This window comes from Homo sapiens, chromosome 5, assembly GCF_000001405.40.
Source record: "Homo sapiens chromosome 5, GRCh38.p14 Primary Assembly".
NCBI classification, from domain to species: domain Eukaryota; kingdom Metazoa; phylum Chordata; class Mammalia; order Primates; family Hominidae; genus Homo; species Homo sapiens.
In genome coordinates, this window is record NC_000005.10 from 71,369,298 (window position 1) to 71,386,741 (window position 17,444).

The window sequence follows — 17,444 nt, forward strand, 5'->3', positions numbered from 1 at the left end:
CAGACTTGCAGTGAATTACATTTTGGGAGAGCAATGTTTTGTGTCCTGAGTGCTTTTTGCCCCTGCCCTCTTGACTCTGTTTTCACTGGGTATGACGAGAATGCCCCAATTCAAATAATCAGCTTTCACAGTACCTATTATGGTCCAGTTCTTTTCTCAAACACTTTGGAATTCAAGAATAAACTAAACAGAAGAAAATCTGACCCTGAAGAAGAAAGTAACAAATAAGTCATAAGTATAATGGATAGGTAAGTTATATTGCAGATTTGAAAGAAATATGTGATGAAAAATAAGAGAAGTAGAGCAGGAAAAAAGAAATTAAGATGGTAGGTGTGGTGGAAGGAGAGGAGGCAAATGCAGGCTCAACCAGAAGGTAAGAAGTCAACAAACATTTTGGAAGGTAGGAGTTGTCAATATGGACAACATGGACATCTGGGGGAAGAGTTCCATGTGGAGTGAGGTTACCCTAAATAATTGAACTCGCTGGAAAAAAACACAACTCTCAATTTTACTACATAGAAGCTCTTGTAAATGAGAGCAGATGAGCTGTTACTTGTGTTGTGTCCCCAAATGAAACAGCTCATTCTAACATGGGGTAGTGTGCATCAAAGACAAATCATGCCATCTCACAATAAGTATACCCACCAAGAACCTTTTGGAGACCTATATTTGGCACTAAAAATACCATTATGAAGAAGAACTTGTATGCCTAATTGCACCCATGCTTTGGTCAATCCTCAATTATATATACATTATAATCAACCACATACAAAAGTCTAATATGTGCATTTACCCTGTGATTCTGTTTTATTCATATTAATAGAAGCATGTTTCTACCACTGTGGTGTCATATTATTCAATTATTTTGAGTTTTAAATCCCAGGGACCGACTTTACCTGAGTATTGTAGCTCTAAAGTTGGAAAGAAAAAATAATGCTGATACCATAATCAGATAGACATAAACAAAAGTGGGAAGAAATCTGCTATTGTGATGAAGCCTATATCATTTAACACCTGAAACTTTGACCAAGCAGAATAAATGAATGAATAAATAATTAAATAAATTAATAAAATGATTCTGGAATTGTAAGCAAGGGAAGATGAAATGATCAGTAGCAAATAACCAAACATGAGCTGACATCATGAAGAAAATAGCAAATTCATGAATTATTCTAAAATCGAAGCATTTGTTAGTCTTAAGTGTGAATATCTCTCTATGAAATTCTTTAATCTGGCCTTACAGTATGATTTACAAAGCACAGTTTCTATTTCTAAGAGCCTCTTACAACTCAAAACTTGCCTTACAAATTTTCTTAGAAGTAATCTTGACAGCAAACACATATTGTTTGAACTTTGTTTTTCATATTTTGTACATTAATTGCCATTCACGTTTTAGTAGTAAATTCTACGTGGTCCCAGGTGTGTGACTGTGCATGCAAGTTATATCAGAACAGGCCTTCCCAGCTTTGTCTTATCGTTATAATATGCAAACTATTGGCATAATTCTACATCTCCCTAAAGATTTTTTGAGTCTTTTGGGATTGATGGTCTCTCTCCCTCTCTCTGGATGCTGCTTTAGGACACTTACTAAGTATACTACTGTGTCTTTCTCAGTGATTAATGATGACTAGATTAATTGGCTTTCTCTTTCATTGTAAGTTCCCCTTTAACATTTCTGATTTTAATTGTGAGAAATAACCCTGCGCATGCATGTATTAGAAGTCAGGGAAGATCCTCTTGATCCATCCCATCAATTTCCCAGGAGCAATTGGCATAATTTAAATCTTCATCTAACTATTCTCCTTCAATTGTAATTGGTGCCACCTATTTTTAAAGTAGCCTATTCTTGTAACATTAACGTTATTTTGATAATTTATTGCGACCCCATTGCCAAAAACAGGCACAAGGGCGCCATAAATAAAGCAGTCTGATAATTGCTTAAACAAAACTGGGCCCCATGGACCAGCAATAAACTGTCATTAAGGTTAGGCTGGAGAAGCACCTGCAATTTCTCTGGATAACCTCTTTTATTTCTCTGTGTACACTACTGCTCATTTCAGAAAATGACAGTTTTGAAAGAGATCAGCAATTTGTTGAAACAAAGAATGAGAAAAACATGGTCTTGGAGGTATAATTTACTTTTACATTTTGAATTAAAAAATAGAAAAAGATATGTTGAAAAAAATTATCATATGAAAACCATAAGATTTCTACTGTAGAGCTAGAGCTATTTCACAGTTTAAAAGCTTGCTCCCTTTGTGGTAACTTTTATTTGTTATTTAAATTCAAGTTAATCTTCCCTGACTTGTAGTACTAAAAAATAGTACTCATGGTCTTTTATTGTTTTCATGCACAATTTAGATAATGTATTTTAGTGTTGCAGCTTGGCTCAGCAATTTTAAAGATTTAGGTTCTGAAAGTTGTTCATCAATAAAGTGGCCTATGTACCTCATTTGCAATGTGAAAGTGTTAGAAATATGAAAGAATTATATTTATTTTATAATACAAAATATAGAAAGATTAAAACTATATTTAAAACCAATTCAGAACACACAAGTAGGTATCACTTAAATGTCTTTTTCAATGTCGGTGACATTTTTAGTTGCTTTTCTTTCTTAAAATTTGCTCCCAAAGTGGCCATAATAATTGATATTTTATAAAGTTGGGGAAAAAAACAAAATGAATGTCTTCCTTTTATATTTATCAGAAGGTTATTTAAATGAATTCTTCTTGAATTTGATGGAAGCATTTTTTAAATTATGTTAATTTTAACACATCAGATGCATGTTTGAATACAAATAAGATCAAATAGGTCTTGAGTCATATCTGCAGGATCTTAATTTTAACATCATAGAGACAAAGATTTTAGTTAATCTTTTGTTTTGCTGTCAAATTTCCCTCTAATTTTGGACATGACACATTTTATCTTATTGAGTTTCAATTATATATGTATAATTATATATATAATTGAATATATATGTGTACATATATACGTAGATATATATATATATGTTGGACTCATGAATGTACATGAAGATACTAGCTTTGAATGAAACAATGTCAATTGCAAACTGCTGTTCATGCTTAATATAAATTCAATTATGAACCGAAATCCTTTAAGACAAAACAGGGAACCAGGTACTCTTATAACTTTTCTCCCAATAATTTGATTTTTTGGAAAAATTTAGTACCATATAATTTTCCCCCAAATATTACCTTTATTAAAAATAATAGTAATAATTCTGGAGAGTTATTTACACTGTGATTTATTAAATCAATCCCTATGATTTAATGTAGTGATGAAAGTGGTCTTTATATTTAAAATGTGCATGTTATATTGCCAGTTTTTACTGAGCACATACATTGTCGGCTAATACATACTCCTTTGTAGGTGAGTGTTTAGCGAAGAAAGCCATTGCTCCATTGGCAAATTAGCGTCATTAGTTGAAGGAGCCCAAGGGTTTAAATTGCAGGAGGTTTGCAGGAAGCATGTGCGCTGGCAGAGCTGTGTGGTAAGGCATCTGCAATAACCGTCTACATTATGCTTCCATTTAGGTGGTGTCATCACTCTGTCACTTTCATCTATTCCATAATTTGCACAAAAAGAAAGCACACCACAACAACTCTTTAAATTCCAAAAATGTATGGTAAACTGTCAGTTTCTCTTGTATGAAGTTGTTTATCTCAGGATTTTACTTGGCGTGCAATTTCTCAATAGACGTATCCTTCCTTCTGAAATGCAAAGGAAATCCCATTGATCAATAGGGGTTGCAGTACTTATCAACATCACAACGGAGACAGCTTAATTCCTCAGATTAGCATTTGGCTCAGATCAGCAAATGTTTTCTGAGAAATTACTATTTATACATTTAAAAGTATCCAACTTCCCTATCTTCCTCCTATCAGCTCAAAATATAAGCCCGGGCCATGTGGCTGCATCTTAATCACGTTCGAGCTGGAGAGCCATCAGTTGAAAGCCTGTCTCAGTTCATAGATACGAGAGATTGTAATATTTTAACATTTCCTCCTGCCAAGTTGCTAAGCAATAAAACTATCTTGGCACTTTCCTGCCAGTTCATCATGAAGAACTACTTTAGTTTAGCTTAGTCTCTTGATGAAACAAATGGAAGGCAGCTGCACCAAACGGCCTTTCAGAAACGTGTTGCCAAACAAATCCCGGGAACTTTCACCCCTTTGCATAGCTAATTTAGATGGCTTGAAGCAGAGAAATCCCATGTTAGTATCAGCATAGAAAATCAAGTCTTAAATATGAGTGATTAAAAATTATACAAACAATAGCTCATCATAAATTTGCCGAGTGCTATTGTCCCATATTACCTTTCTCCAAGGTATACCTAAGTGTGATGATTTCTCAGCTAAAAAAAGGCACATTTTTCATACCATAAAGTCAACTTAAGTCAGACATACTAGACAAGCTACTGGCTAAATTTGAAATGTATTTCTACTTAATTTTTACTTAGCTTTTGAGAGTTTTGATTACATAAGTAATGCCAAAAGAATGCCACACAATAATTTCAAACAACAGAGAAATGTATACATTTAAAAGTGTATAAAGTAAAAAGAGAAGTAAGTTTCCTTTCGCATTCATCCAATCCTGTATATTTGTATGTGTTTTTTCACAACTGCCTCTGTGCATGTGTGTATGTGTATTTGTGGCTGCATATGTATAAACTAAGAATTTTAGTCTATAAACTTACAGCAAATATTGACACATTTATTTATTGCTGTTATTGTTTTTATTAAAATTGAATCATATCCTGAGCCCCCAACTTGCCATTACATGAACTAAGTTCTTCCCATCTCAGGAATCAGAAAATCCCAAGAATCTTTATCACAACAGAATGTTCTGGGAGAGTCCCCTTGGATTTAGGACACACAGGTCACCAAGGAAATGGCCCTGTGCAAACTCACACCATCATGTGAAGTGGACATCTGCATTCTAGTGCTACACAGACTACACCATCTGCTTCAGAGAGTTTGCAGGTGATCTTCTCTCAGTCTGTCCTCCTCACATTTCAGGTCCTTCACAGAGCCAACTCCTGTTCACTGTTATCCTCAGCCTGAAATCACAAAGCTTCCTTATGTAGGCCTTCTTTATCAACTCAGATTAAATTAAAACCTTTCCTCCCAGTGGACAACAAGGCACTTTTTAATGTATCCATTATCATACTTCTCAAATTTATTTTTGCCAACTCTCTGCTTCCTTACTAAACTATGGTATCCATAAGCGTAGCTTACAGTGCTCAACATTTATTCATTAATTGGACAGATACTCACTGAGCTTCTACTATGGTGAATTGATGTGCTGGATGCTGAGAATAAAACTTCTATTTGAATGGCATGATTCTCTCTCACTGTCCCTACCTTTGAGACAGATGTGAATAAAAAAGCCACACATTATTACTTAATTAGAATGATAAGTGTTATACTATCTATGTGAGTAGTTGGAGCAAGTTAGTCTAGTGAGAGAGGTGAGTGTTTCAGGAAATTCTCTGGAAAAATTTGTATGTAAGTTGAGACCTGAGAAGTAAACACAACTTCATTAGGAGAGAAGAGCATCCTTAGTTCTTTAGTGAGACTGGAAGGTGTGTGGAGTAGAAGCCTTAGAGAGGAGGAGGTGGTGGAAACACATTCTGAAAGAAGAAGTATTCTAAAGCCAGGCTGGCCAGCAAGGATTTTATATTACCGAATCTTTTGGGTTTTTTTCCATGAGAATACTGTGAAGCCATAAGCAAGGCAGCAATATGAGTAGATCTGCAATTAGAACATGATGGTGGACTTGGCCAAGATGGTGAAAACAAACAGAATAGAATTGAAAAATATTTTGGAGTTAAAAATAGGAGAATTTATCGATTCACTGATTGTGGGTCTGAGGCAAAGAAGATAAAAGTTAAAAAATATAAGAGGAAAAGCAATAGTTAACACTCATAATGCACTTGCTAGGTACTAATCATTAAGTTTCTCACATGTATTAGTAGATTTAATTTGCACAATAACCATAAGAAGTAGGTGCTATTATTACTCAAACATCATCGATGAGGAAAGTAAATCAAAGGGTTAATAAATAACTTGCCCAAAGTTGTACGGCCATAGGGTGGTTTGGTTCCAGAATCTATTACTTACACATTACTCCTGGGCTTTTGGAATGAGAAACTGAGGATGGTGTTGCTATAAACTGGAACAGGGAACATTGGAGAAGCAGTGAATCTGGGTTAAGGCACAAGATGATCTTTGAACAGGTTGAATTTAAGGTGCCTCTGAGATAGGCAGCTAGAGATGACAGGTCTGGCATTCTAAAGTTGAATATAAACAGAAGATATCATTTTGGGACTTATCAAAGTAGAAATGATAATGAAAGCCATGAGATGCATGAAAGCATTCAGGATTACAGTATAGAGTAAAAAAAGAAAGCCTATATGAAGTAGAGGAAGGGGTATTGGCCTCATTGTCTAGGGAGGAACTGCTAGGGTAGTAGAACAATGGGATTATGCTGTCACAAAAAACAAAGAAAAAACATAATTTCTTAAATCATGGTCTGTCACTGAATCTGGTTATAAAACCTTATCTTGCACTAGAAGGATCTGTAGCTTTTCCAGCTGAGAATGGGGTTCAGGATACCGAATCAACACTAGAAAAGAGAGAAACTGGGGATGAAGAAAACTCAGCTAAATTTCCTATAGGAAGGAGAGATTTTGACAGTGAGTAGTTTTTCAAAATTCAGTTCTTACATCCTACCATTAAACATAACTCTGAGTTTAAGCAAATTTGGATGCAATCATAACAAAATCAAATACGACCATGGCTCAATTACACCTGCCAAAAATGTGGGATTAAGAAGTGTTTAATTAGTTCTTATCATTTTGGTTTACTCAGAATTAGTTATACTAGATCCATTATTCTTTTTTCTTAATAAATTTTGTGTGATAATTATAGTCCTTTAAACAATTTAAACTTTCTTCTTCCTTCAGCACTCAGATGTATGCTGGGAAGAGTCTACCAACGTTGCTGGCAAGTCTGATTCTTTTTTTGATATGGACCTGTTGGTCCATATCATCTTTTCAGAAGAAAAGCATTTAATTGCCAATGGGAGGAGAAGCCCATAATGTTACTGTAACTTGGGTATTATGTTAACTGTCTGTTTTAAAAGAAAGTAGCGTTAAGATAGATCAGTAACCAAAATCATAGGCTTTTTCTGTGCATTGAACTTTGTGAAAATGCTGTATAATTTTGACTTACTAGTATTTTTGAACAATGCTTAACATACTAACCTTACATACACTCTAGACCAAAATAAGGCATCATAATTTACACCTTAATCTCAAAAATTAAGCATGTCTTTGGTGAATGGTTTTATATATACATAAACCTAAAACATATAAGACAAAAATTTATGTTTGGAGCCTGTGTTCTGTAAAGAGAAGGTTGATTTGTCTTTTAGCTATCGTATTTGGAGTGGAACTATAATACAAATGTATAATATTCTTTTTTTTTTTTTTTTTGAGATGGAGTCTCACTCTGTTGCCCAGGCTGGAGTGCAATGGCACGATCTCGGCTCACTGAAACCTCTGCCTCCCGGGTTCAAGCAATTCCCTGCCTCAGCCTCATGAATAGCTGGGATTACAGGTGCCCACCACCATGCCTGGCTGGTTTTTGTATTTTTAGTAGAGGCAAGGTTTCACCATCTTGGTCAAGTTGGTCTGGAACTCCTGACCCTGTGATCCACCTGCCTTGGCTTCCCAAAGTGCTGGGATTACAGGCGTGCACCACTGAGTCCAGCCTATATTCTTGTTTATCAGTTCAAAAATGCTCTGCACTGTTTTTGACTCTTTAAAAATAACTTAGATTCAAATTTATAGTAGAAGAAAAAAAATCTTTCAGATAAGAGGTGTTCTCCAGAATGGAAGAACGACTTGGCATGTAAGAAATAGCGTCAGTGTCCTAATGCATATTGTGACTGTTTGCATATACTTCTGTTTGTAAAAATATCGGTTTTATTTTCAGAGGATTTGTAAGAAACATTTAAATTTTCATTGAAATAAATGACAAGTCATACTGTCACTTAAAAAAAAAAAAAAGACCTTTGTCAAGGAGAGTGCAGTCAACCAGTAAACTGCAGATTCTCAGAATGTTTATTGACGTACTGATTATTCATTCTGTTATACTCTAACATCTGTATATTTTTACCAGTATTCTCAGACCACTTCTACCAAAACATAAATCTGTGATTGTGATCTCTGAAAGTCAGTCCTTTTATCTACTCAAGTAAGTGCAAATTTTAGAAAATAATTTTCCCTAGAAATATAAGTTGTTCTTTTCTTAATTTATCCACTAACTGTTTAGAAATATAATTAGCTTCTAAGATTTGAAAAACGGTAAATTTTAAAAGTCATATCTATTGGTTAAAGTTTAAAATACTTCCAGGAAATAAGCAGAATTGAGTTAATGTTAATTTTATCCAACTAATACTTGAAAAGGATCATTGATTTATATTACTGCCAGCTTAAACCATTTTAATTAATGTACTACTAATCATAACAGTGTTAGTTACAATTTTGTCTTCAAGTACAATAAAGACACATAGATTTGAACTCTTTTGATTATTTTTGGCCTCTTGGTCAATGCCTCATAGTCAAAATTTTAATTAAGATTTTGCACTAAAAGTAAAAAGAAAATTGGGATAAAAATGTGCAGTGTGTTTTATTCATTATGTGGAGGCATCTTTCCTATATCCAAGTTTAACTAATACTGGTCCTCTACCTGCTTAGATTAACTGGTAAGAATTTTATAAGCATTTCTTACTATCTGTTATAAACCAAAAATGGCAATCTTTCCACATTTTGACGTAATAATTTTGAGCTTATTACAAATTAAAATAAAAAATTAAAAACAAATATTACCTTATAAAAATTCAAACGGTATGTATTGAATATTAATTTAAATTACTGTTATTAATATTACATGAAATACGCATGTTGTAAAATTTTAAATTACTATCTGGTTAAATAAACTATACATATTCTGTAGAGTCAAATCAGATTTTGGCAATGTTGTAGAATTTAACTGAATGCCCAGATGGAGGAACTTGATTATATTATATAAAGGGGACTACAATCCTAGAGTTGGACTCAAGCACAAGCATTTCTCATTATTTTGCAGAAGAAGACACTAAGGTTTTCAGAAATTAAATTGCTTTTTGGAAAAGGTGGGAGATTCTGGGAACATAGAAACTTGAATCCAGTTTTCTTCAACTCCACGTCAAGACAGTTGCATTGTGTGAGAAAATAGCTACGGCCATTTGTGGTAAAATCACATATATGCAATTATGTGAAACTAATTGTGTATATGTATCTGTGTATGTGTGCGTGTACAATATATAAACTATCAATATTTATCAAAGTCCGTATAGCTGCTAGCAATGAGGGGGATCTAGGATTCTATCACATGATACCTTTTTATGAGGCCTTTGTTCTTTCCAGTACATTTGTCAGCTCGTTCATGAAAGAGATTCTTAATTATTTACTGAAATATCACAAAAGTGATGGTGAGCTAGGTTGCCACATTGATCCTGATAGGTCCTTGACAAATTCATATTGACTCTCCACAAATAAAACTATAAGGCAGTTTTTCCCATTGTGATGCTTTTGTCTACAATCTTAATTGTTAACTCTTCCAAAGAATAAACACACAATATATCAATTTTTTAACCCATTTAGGTAGAAATATGGGTATATAGAAAGGAAGAAAGCAAGGTTAACGGTGAGCAGTGGCTAAATGAACAAGAGAACATTCAGTTAAGTATCTCATCTCCAAAATGGTATAAACTGTGGCAGAAAGTACTTTGTTGAATCAATAGTTTCGAGACAGACATACAGTAGGGACATCGAAGGTACAAAATAGAGCACTGATGAAGGAGTGAATTATCATCTTCACAGATGAGTAGAGAAAGAGAAGGTCTAAATATTGAGATGAGAATATAGAAATTTCTGATGCACAACACAGCTCAGAAATTCAATCTGAATATATTCCAATTCAGTGCCTTGCAATAGATCCATAATGATCGCCTATCTTTCCAGCATACAAAGCAATGCATATCATTTAAACATTTTTCTAGCATGAAAATGTGCCTGGGTTATGCAATACACACTTTACCAAAATATGATTTTGGTGGCTGTAAGCACTTAATTGTAATGACCTGTAAAATGAGCAACATTTTTAACTCCGAAATTCTAATCAATATTAGTTAATGAGGTGTGTGACAACTTATAATGCTTTTAAATACTCTTAGTGGCCATCATAATACAAATTTTCCCACTTACAGCATATTTAATTTTAATCCTTGCAATAATATAAATGAAATACATCTAAAACACTTTATAGTAAGCACTCAAGTAAAAGTCCCCATAACATGGCCTTAAAAAAGGTTAATCTTTTAACAATGGGGTCATGAAAACATTTTTGTTATAGATATTTTTATGTTCCTCCTTGTATCAATCAGGATTAAATTTTCAAATATTCATACCATTTAACAACAGACTGAATAAATAACAAAGTTGTTAACACAAAATGAATAAATGTTTTGTATACATTAAAAATAGAAGATAGAAAAAATAACTTGGTAATGTGTTTAAAATATTTTATGGCCTCTACCCCATTATGTTATTCCATTTTCTCATAACTGTAGACCTTTAGCTACCAAACAGAGGGAAGGGGCATTGTACACTAGTTACCTAGAAAACAAATCATTTATAGGTCTTATTTTTGGAAAAGGAGATATCTTTTAATTCAACTAAAATGTAAAACATTGGAAGTGTCCCCCTATCAAGGCTTAGTTTTACTATTGCTTAATATAGATGAAGAAAAAATAAATCATATACTAAACTCGGGAAGCTTGGGTTTTCTCTTAAAGTAAGCCATGCTGTGATTGTTCCATCTAAACAGTTATATCAACTTTACTTTGTATCATATGAAAACAACAGCCTGCTGAATGACTATGTATTGTCTATTTCCACCTGCTAAACAAGATAAGACCACATGAAATAGGATCAGCTTAGCCATTACCTTCAGGAAGCTTCAGACATATTGTTTATTGCAAATGGACATATATTATAAATGTATATACAGACACATCTTTGTGATATTACTTCCTGAAGTATGTTCTTATGGAAATTTAACTTTGTTCATCCAGTCAGATTTCCAGAAATGTATCTACTGTGACAATTAATATCTTATTCTCCAACTCTTTGTTTTTCTCATTCTGTACTTACTTTGCTTTCATCAAAGACATTTTAGCAAAATTAATTTCCAGGACCATTTTCTTAGTGAACTAATGCCATTTGATCACCAATGGCCATTTTCGTTTTTATCTCGAGGATCACATTGGGCATTTGTCTCTGACTTTTCAGTCAGTTTATAATGCATTCTTGTTCCCTTTGGAGGATGTTTGTTCTTTTTTTCTCTGCCCGCTCCCAACATTAAAATCCAAGGTAAACTCTTAATTAAGTGGAGTTGACAGAAGTCACATTTTCTCTATAAAGAACAATTGGAATCCACTGGATTTGCCCTATCAAGAAAAAAGAAAATCATATCTCCAAGAGTAGGTATTGGTAATTAATTAATCCCTAATCTTTTTGAAAAGTATCTGTATTAGTCCATTTTCATGCTGCTGATTAAGTCATACCTGAGACTGGGTAATTTATCTTAAAAAAAAAAAAAAAAAAAGAGGTTTAATGGACTCATAGTTCCATGTGGTTGGGGAGGCCTCACAATCATGGCAGAAGGCAAAAGGCACATCTTACATGGTGGCAGGCAAAGGCAATGAGAGTCAAGAGAAAGGGGAAATCTCTTATAAAATCATCAGATCTCCTGAGACTTATTCACTACCACAAGAACAGTATGGGGAAAACTGTCCCCCATAATTCAATTATCTCCCACCAGTTCCCTCCCACAAGATGTGGAATTATGGGAGCTACAATTCGAGATAAGATTTGGGTGGGGACACAGCCAAGCTGTATCATTATCAGATATTGTATTCATCTGGTAGTGGTCAGTAAATCTGTGCACAATCTCAGAGTTGGCTGATTTTTGCTTTTCCATCCTTGCTATCTCACACCAGTGGTTTCCATCCTAAAGTACACAAACCATGTTATTTTTCTGCTCTTTGATTTCCTAAGCAGTATACCAGCTACTTTAGGACTGTGTTCCTGTACAGTGCCCCTTTTCTTCACGACCACCTACAAATCTATTAAGTACTTAAAGACTTTTTTCCTGTGATGGGGATTTTGATGCTTGTTTGTTCTTTCTATGCCAATTTCATACACTTCTGAGTCTCATCCATATGTCCCAACTGCTCCCTCTAAAACTAAAAGCTACTATTTATTAAGTATTTGTTGCATTTCCAAAATCACTCTAAGTACTTTGTCTACATTGTCTCATGTAATCTTCACAGTTTTCTGAGTTGTGCATTATATGTTGCTACTGTCCACATTCCTTCACTAAAGTTATGGATTTTAGTTTATTTTAATTAAATGGCCAATGAAGATTTTGAGAAGTAACTAGTATCACATAGCAGAGGTGGGAATGCATTTGAAGAGATCTATATTAATTTTCTAAGGCTGCCATAGCAAATTTGCACAAACTTGGCATCTTAAAATAACAGAAATTGATTTTTTTTACAGTTCAGAAGGCCAGAAATCTGTTTTCTCACAGTTTGGGCCAGAAGTCAGAAAGCAGCAGAGTTGGTTCCTTCTGGAGCCTCTCAGGAAAAACCTGTCTTATTCCTCTTTCCTAGCTTCTGGTGGTTCTTGTCACTCCTTGGCATTCCTTGATTTCTTGATTAGTTGTATCAATCCAATCTCCAACTCTGTCATTGAATGGCCTTCTTTCTTGTATAACTCCCCTGCATCTTTGTATTCAAATATTCCTCTCCTTTCTCTTTTAAAGATACTAACCACTGGCTGGGCATGGTGGCTCACGCCTGTAATCCCAGCACTTTGGGAGGCCGAGGCATGCGGAACATGAGGTCAGGAGTTTAAGACCAAACTGGCCAACATGGTGAAACCCCGTCTCACTAAAAATACAAAAATTAGCTGAGCGTGGTGGTGCACACCTACAATCCCAGCTACTGGGGAGGCTGAGGCAGGAGAATGGCTTGAACCCAGGAGGCAGAGGTTGCAGTGAGCCAAGATCTTGTCACTGCACTCCAGCCTGGGTGACAAGCAAGACTCCGTCTCAAAAAATAAATAAACAAAAGATACTAATCATTGAATTTAGCTCCCACCTTAACTAAGTAGGACTTCATTTTAACTTGATTACATCTCAAAAGACCCTATTTCTAAAAAGGGTCACATTCATAAGTACCAAGGATTAGAATGTGAACATATATTCTTGAGGGACACAAGTCTACCCACTAAAATGTGTAATTCCAAATTGCATGCTCAATTTTACAGTATACAGCACTAAACTACATCCTACTGCTTTACTGGGTGACTCTCTTTTAAAGGCCTGCCATGGTCTTTACCGTAATTCTTCAATTTATTTTGCTTGAGTTGTCCTATATGTTTTTCTAGACCCAATCTCAAGCCATCCTTAGCAAGAATCTTAAGAAAATCTCCCAAATTGTATAAGTACTCAGTCAATGCAGAATAAGCAATGCTTTCCCTGATTAGTTCTATTCTGTTTCTTCTGCTTCTGAACCTCTAGAAAGATCTCACCTGAGTTTCAGTAGAGTCTCTATACATCCTACATGAATGATCTAATCTCCAACCTCAACAGACTTCAAGTCAGTAATAAGTAAACAGAAAAACTTTGACTCATGTTTAAAATATTTCACTTGCCTTGGCCTCCCAAAGTGTTGGGATTACAGGCGTGAGCCACCACGTCCGGGTGGATCACAAGGTCAGGAGTTCAAGACCAGCCTGGCCAAGATGGTGAAACCCTGTCTCCACTAAAAATACAAAAATTAGCCAGGCATGGTGGCAGGTGCCTGTAATCCCAGATTCTCGGGAGGCTGAGGCAGAGAATTACTTGAACCTGGAAGGCAGAGGTTGCAATGAGCCAAGATCATATGACTGCACTCCAGCCTGGGTGACAGAGCAAGTTTCAAAAAATAATAATAAATAATAAAATAAAATATTTCACTCATAAATTAATTGATTCAATAAATGTTTCATTCAAGTACGTACACATTAGTACATGGTTTCAATGATCCTTGATTTAAAACCTTGGAAATAGCTTTAATTCTATATTACATTTACATCGACATCCACTCAGGTATGAATATTCTGTAGAAAAGTTTTGGTTTTTCCCTTTCCATTCTTTTGTGAAATGTTTGTCTTCCTTGTCTGCTAACACTTTTTAATATGACAATTATCATTAATTATTCACAAAGTGAGTTAATATTTGCTACATATTTAATGTCTAATTTGTTTCACTATTTTAAACGTACTGTACCTGGCTTCTGAAAAGAATGCAAAGCCCTCAGAGTCAAGTGCATAATATAATATCCTTATGGTTTTGCAGCCTACTATTCGTTCGGTACTCAATAACTAGCAATGAACAGCAAATGTAATTATATATGTGTATATATATAGAGAGAACATTTATGTATATATAGAACATATATATGTATATATATAGAACACACACACACACACATATATATATATATATGAAACATAAGAATTTATGTATAGCTAAGCTGAACATTTGGCTATCAGATAAAACTGTAGCTTTACAAATACTTAAGAACAGAAAAACTGAGATTGCTCCTAGATCTGGGGTGGCCAAAAGAAATGGAATCAGATGTTTTTGTTAATAGGTAATGCCCCAAATCTTATCAGTCATAAGCACTGGGCCAGACAGACCTGTGCTTAGATATTCTAATATGGTATACCTTTACTAGTACCTTGGTTAGAAAAAAAGATATCCCCTCTAGGTGGACAAATCAGAAAAACAGACCAGCTGTTAACAGGTCAAGCTTAAGAGCACATGGCTTGGTGATGGTGGCAGAGAAGGAATTTTAGACTCTCCGGCTCCCTCCACAAGGCACTATTGTGCAGCACACACATTGCACAACCTCACGGAGTAGTCTTGGCCTTAGCTGAGGGGATGAAAAGAACTGTTTAGTTAAGAAGTGAGATTTAGCAGCTTACATAAATCCTTAAGGTGTTTTACGCACTTTTTGTACATCAGTGCCTTACATTAATTAATCCATTTAATTCTACCTGCCATGAGTCTACCACACCCATTTTACTCATGTGGAAACCAAGGCACAGGGAGGTTAAATGGCTTGTCCAAGGTCACACAGCCTTTGAGTGGTAGATTCCGGATTCAAATACATGCAGCCTGATACTGAAACTTTGTTCGTGAACACTTTACTGCCTTTAAACAGATGAAATTAGAATAAATGGAAATTCCTGGGACTAACTATTAAAAAAGTGTAATAAGCTGTAAGAAGGAGGCATTATTAAGTAAAGGAACTCACTTTGGGAAATACCAGCTTAGAACTTAATAGGCTTATGATGGTATTTATAAACAATCAAAGGATCAAGTTGATAAGCCATTCTGTGACTTGTTGATAAATATCTTATCAGTTTTTGTACCCGGCTGAAATCCTTCCTCAAGAGATTAAATCACCAAAGGGGTTAACTCTTTGTTTTGTGTGCAATTTTTCCACTGCCAATAATTTTGTTCTCTGAGCAGTGAAACAAGTAATTCCCAAATTAAGAGCATGTTAGGACTATAGGTCCTCATTTTCCTAACTGCAAAGAAAATTATTTTAAAAGTAATTTTCCCCTCAGAAGCAATTCCAAGACTGAAGATTAAATATACAGAGAAGCAATGATTCAGGCTTTTAAAAAAATCGCTTTTTAAAGGAGTATAAGTGAAAACAGTTAAGTAAATATATTTAATTACCAAGATTTTATTGTATCTTTTACTCACATAAAAAGACTAAAATAAAACGTTTCTGGTTTTCACAGTAACTGATCTGATAATGTCAACTTTTGAAAACAGATAGTTATGACTCAAGGCTTTGAGAATGTAAAGAGACGCCCTTCACATGTTGAGAAATGGCACGATTTCACGTTATCAGTGCAGTTCGGTTCTCAGGGGGAAAGGTAAGCCCATAGCTAACTCCAGCTCCAAGCTGCTATTTCATGATAACAGCTCACGGAGCTGTGGGCCTGCTAAGCCTTTCCCACCTCGTTCTGGAATTCCTCTATAGCCCATCCGTACTACCAGGAGACTGGATCCGCAAAGTAGACACTTGGTCTCATGAAGCCACTGCTGGGCTCCAGAGAGAAGGAAAAACTAAGCGGTTTTAAAACCCCCGCCCTCCTTGGTTTACCTCCATCATTAAAAAACAACAATGACAACGACAACAAAAAACAAAACTAAAACGACTTATTGTTTATTAATTATGTTGTGGCAGACAATATGCTGAACATTAGGCATAATTAAATTCTTTTTAAAAATTGATAATTTATCTCTGTTTTATAGAAGTGTGAAACTGTCAGGAAGACAGATGAAATGATTTGCCTGAGGCCGTATCATCAAACAAGAAATTCATATTCACCTTTCTGGAATTCTTAGGATAATGATTACATGTGTTCAATTGTTAAAAATTGGCAGATAAAATTTTATGTATTTACCACGTACAACATGAAATTTTGAAACATGTATACATTCTGGAATGACTAAATCCAGCTAATTAACATAGGTATTGTCTCACATATTTACTTTTGTGGTGAGAACAGTTAATATCCACTCTCAACATTTTCCAAGAATACAATATATTACTAACTATAGTCACCATGTTGTAAAACGGATCTCTTCAAGTATTCCTCCTATATAATTGAAATTTTGTATCCTTGGACCAACGTCTCCTCACCCTACTCACTCCTCAAATATCCCTACCCTTGGAAACCACTGTTCTCCTCTCTCTACTTCTAGGATATCAGCTTTCAAGAGTGAGATCTTGTGGCATTTGTCTCTCTGTTCCTAGCTTATTTCACTTAACATAACGTCCTCTAGGTTCATCCATGTGCAACCCCCTAGGTTCATGTCCTTTTTTAAGGTTTAATAGTTTTCTGTTGTGTACATATGCCACAATTTATTTACCCATCCACTTCTTGATGGATGCTTCAATTGTTTCTGTACTTGAGCTATTGAGGACGATGCTCCAGTGAACATTGGAGCACCGATATTTTTACAGGGTGGTGATTTATTTTTCTCTGGATATATATACCCAGAAGAGAAAGTGCTGGGTCATACGATAGTTCTTTTCTTTTCGTTTTTTTCTTTTCTTTTCTTTTCTTTTTTTTCAGAAACCTCCATACTGTTTTCCACAGTGGCTGCACCAATCTATATTCCCAAATTAAACTTCAATGTGCAGATGAATTACCTAAAATTCTTTATAAATTGCA

At 34.9% G+C, this 17,444-nt stretch overlaps 2 long non-coding RNA genes and 1 pseudogene across 5 annotated transcripts in view; 1 reads left to right on the forward strand and 2 right to left on the reverse strand.

The window, feature by feature from the left end:
* The window catches only part of LINC02197 (long intergenic non-protein coding RNA 2197), a 125,726-nt gene that overhangs the window by 48,267 nt on the left and 60,015 nt on the right, over positions 1 to 17,444 (reverse strand). The window lies entirely within an intron of this gene.
* On the reverse strand, positions 4,739 to 7,536 carry LOC105379025 (uncharacterized). 2 transcript variants are annotated; one of them, XR_001742723.2, is made up of 2 exons: positions 6,145 to 7,536; positions 4,739 to 5,081 (listed from the first exon to the last, which is right to left on the reverse strand). It is a non-coding gene; the product is annotated as an uncharacterized LOC105379025 (long non-coding RNA). The 2 variants fall into 2 exon arrangements; XR_001742722.2 differs by having other exon boundaries at positions 4,739 to 5,385.
* PMCHL2 (pro-melanin concentrating hormone like 2 (pseudogene)) lies at positions 6,488 to 16,696 on the forward strand (annotated as a pseudogene). The gene is made up of 4 exons (NR_003922.1): positions 6,488 to 6,719; positions 6,990 to 8,283; positions 15,999 to 16,136; positions 16,519 to 16,696. The product of NR_003922.1 is annotated as a pro-melanin concentrating hormone like 2 (pseudogene) (transcript).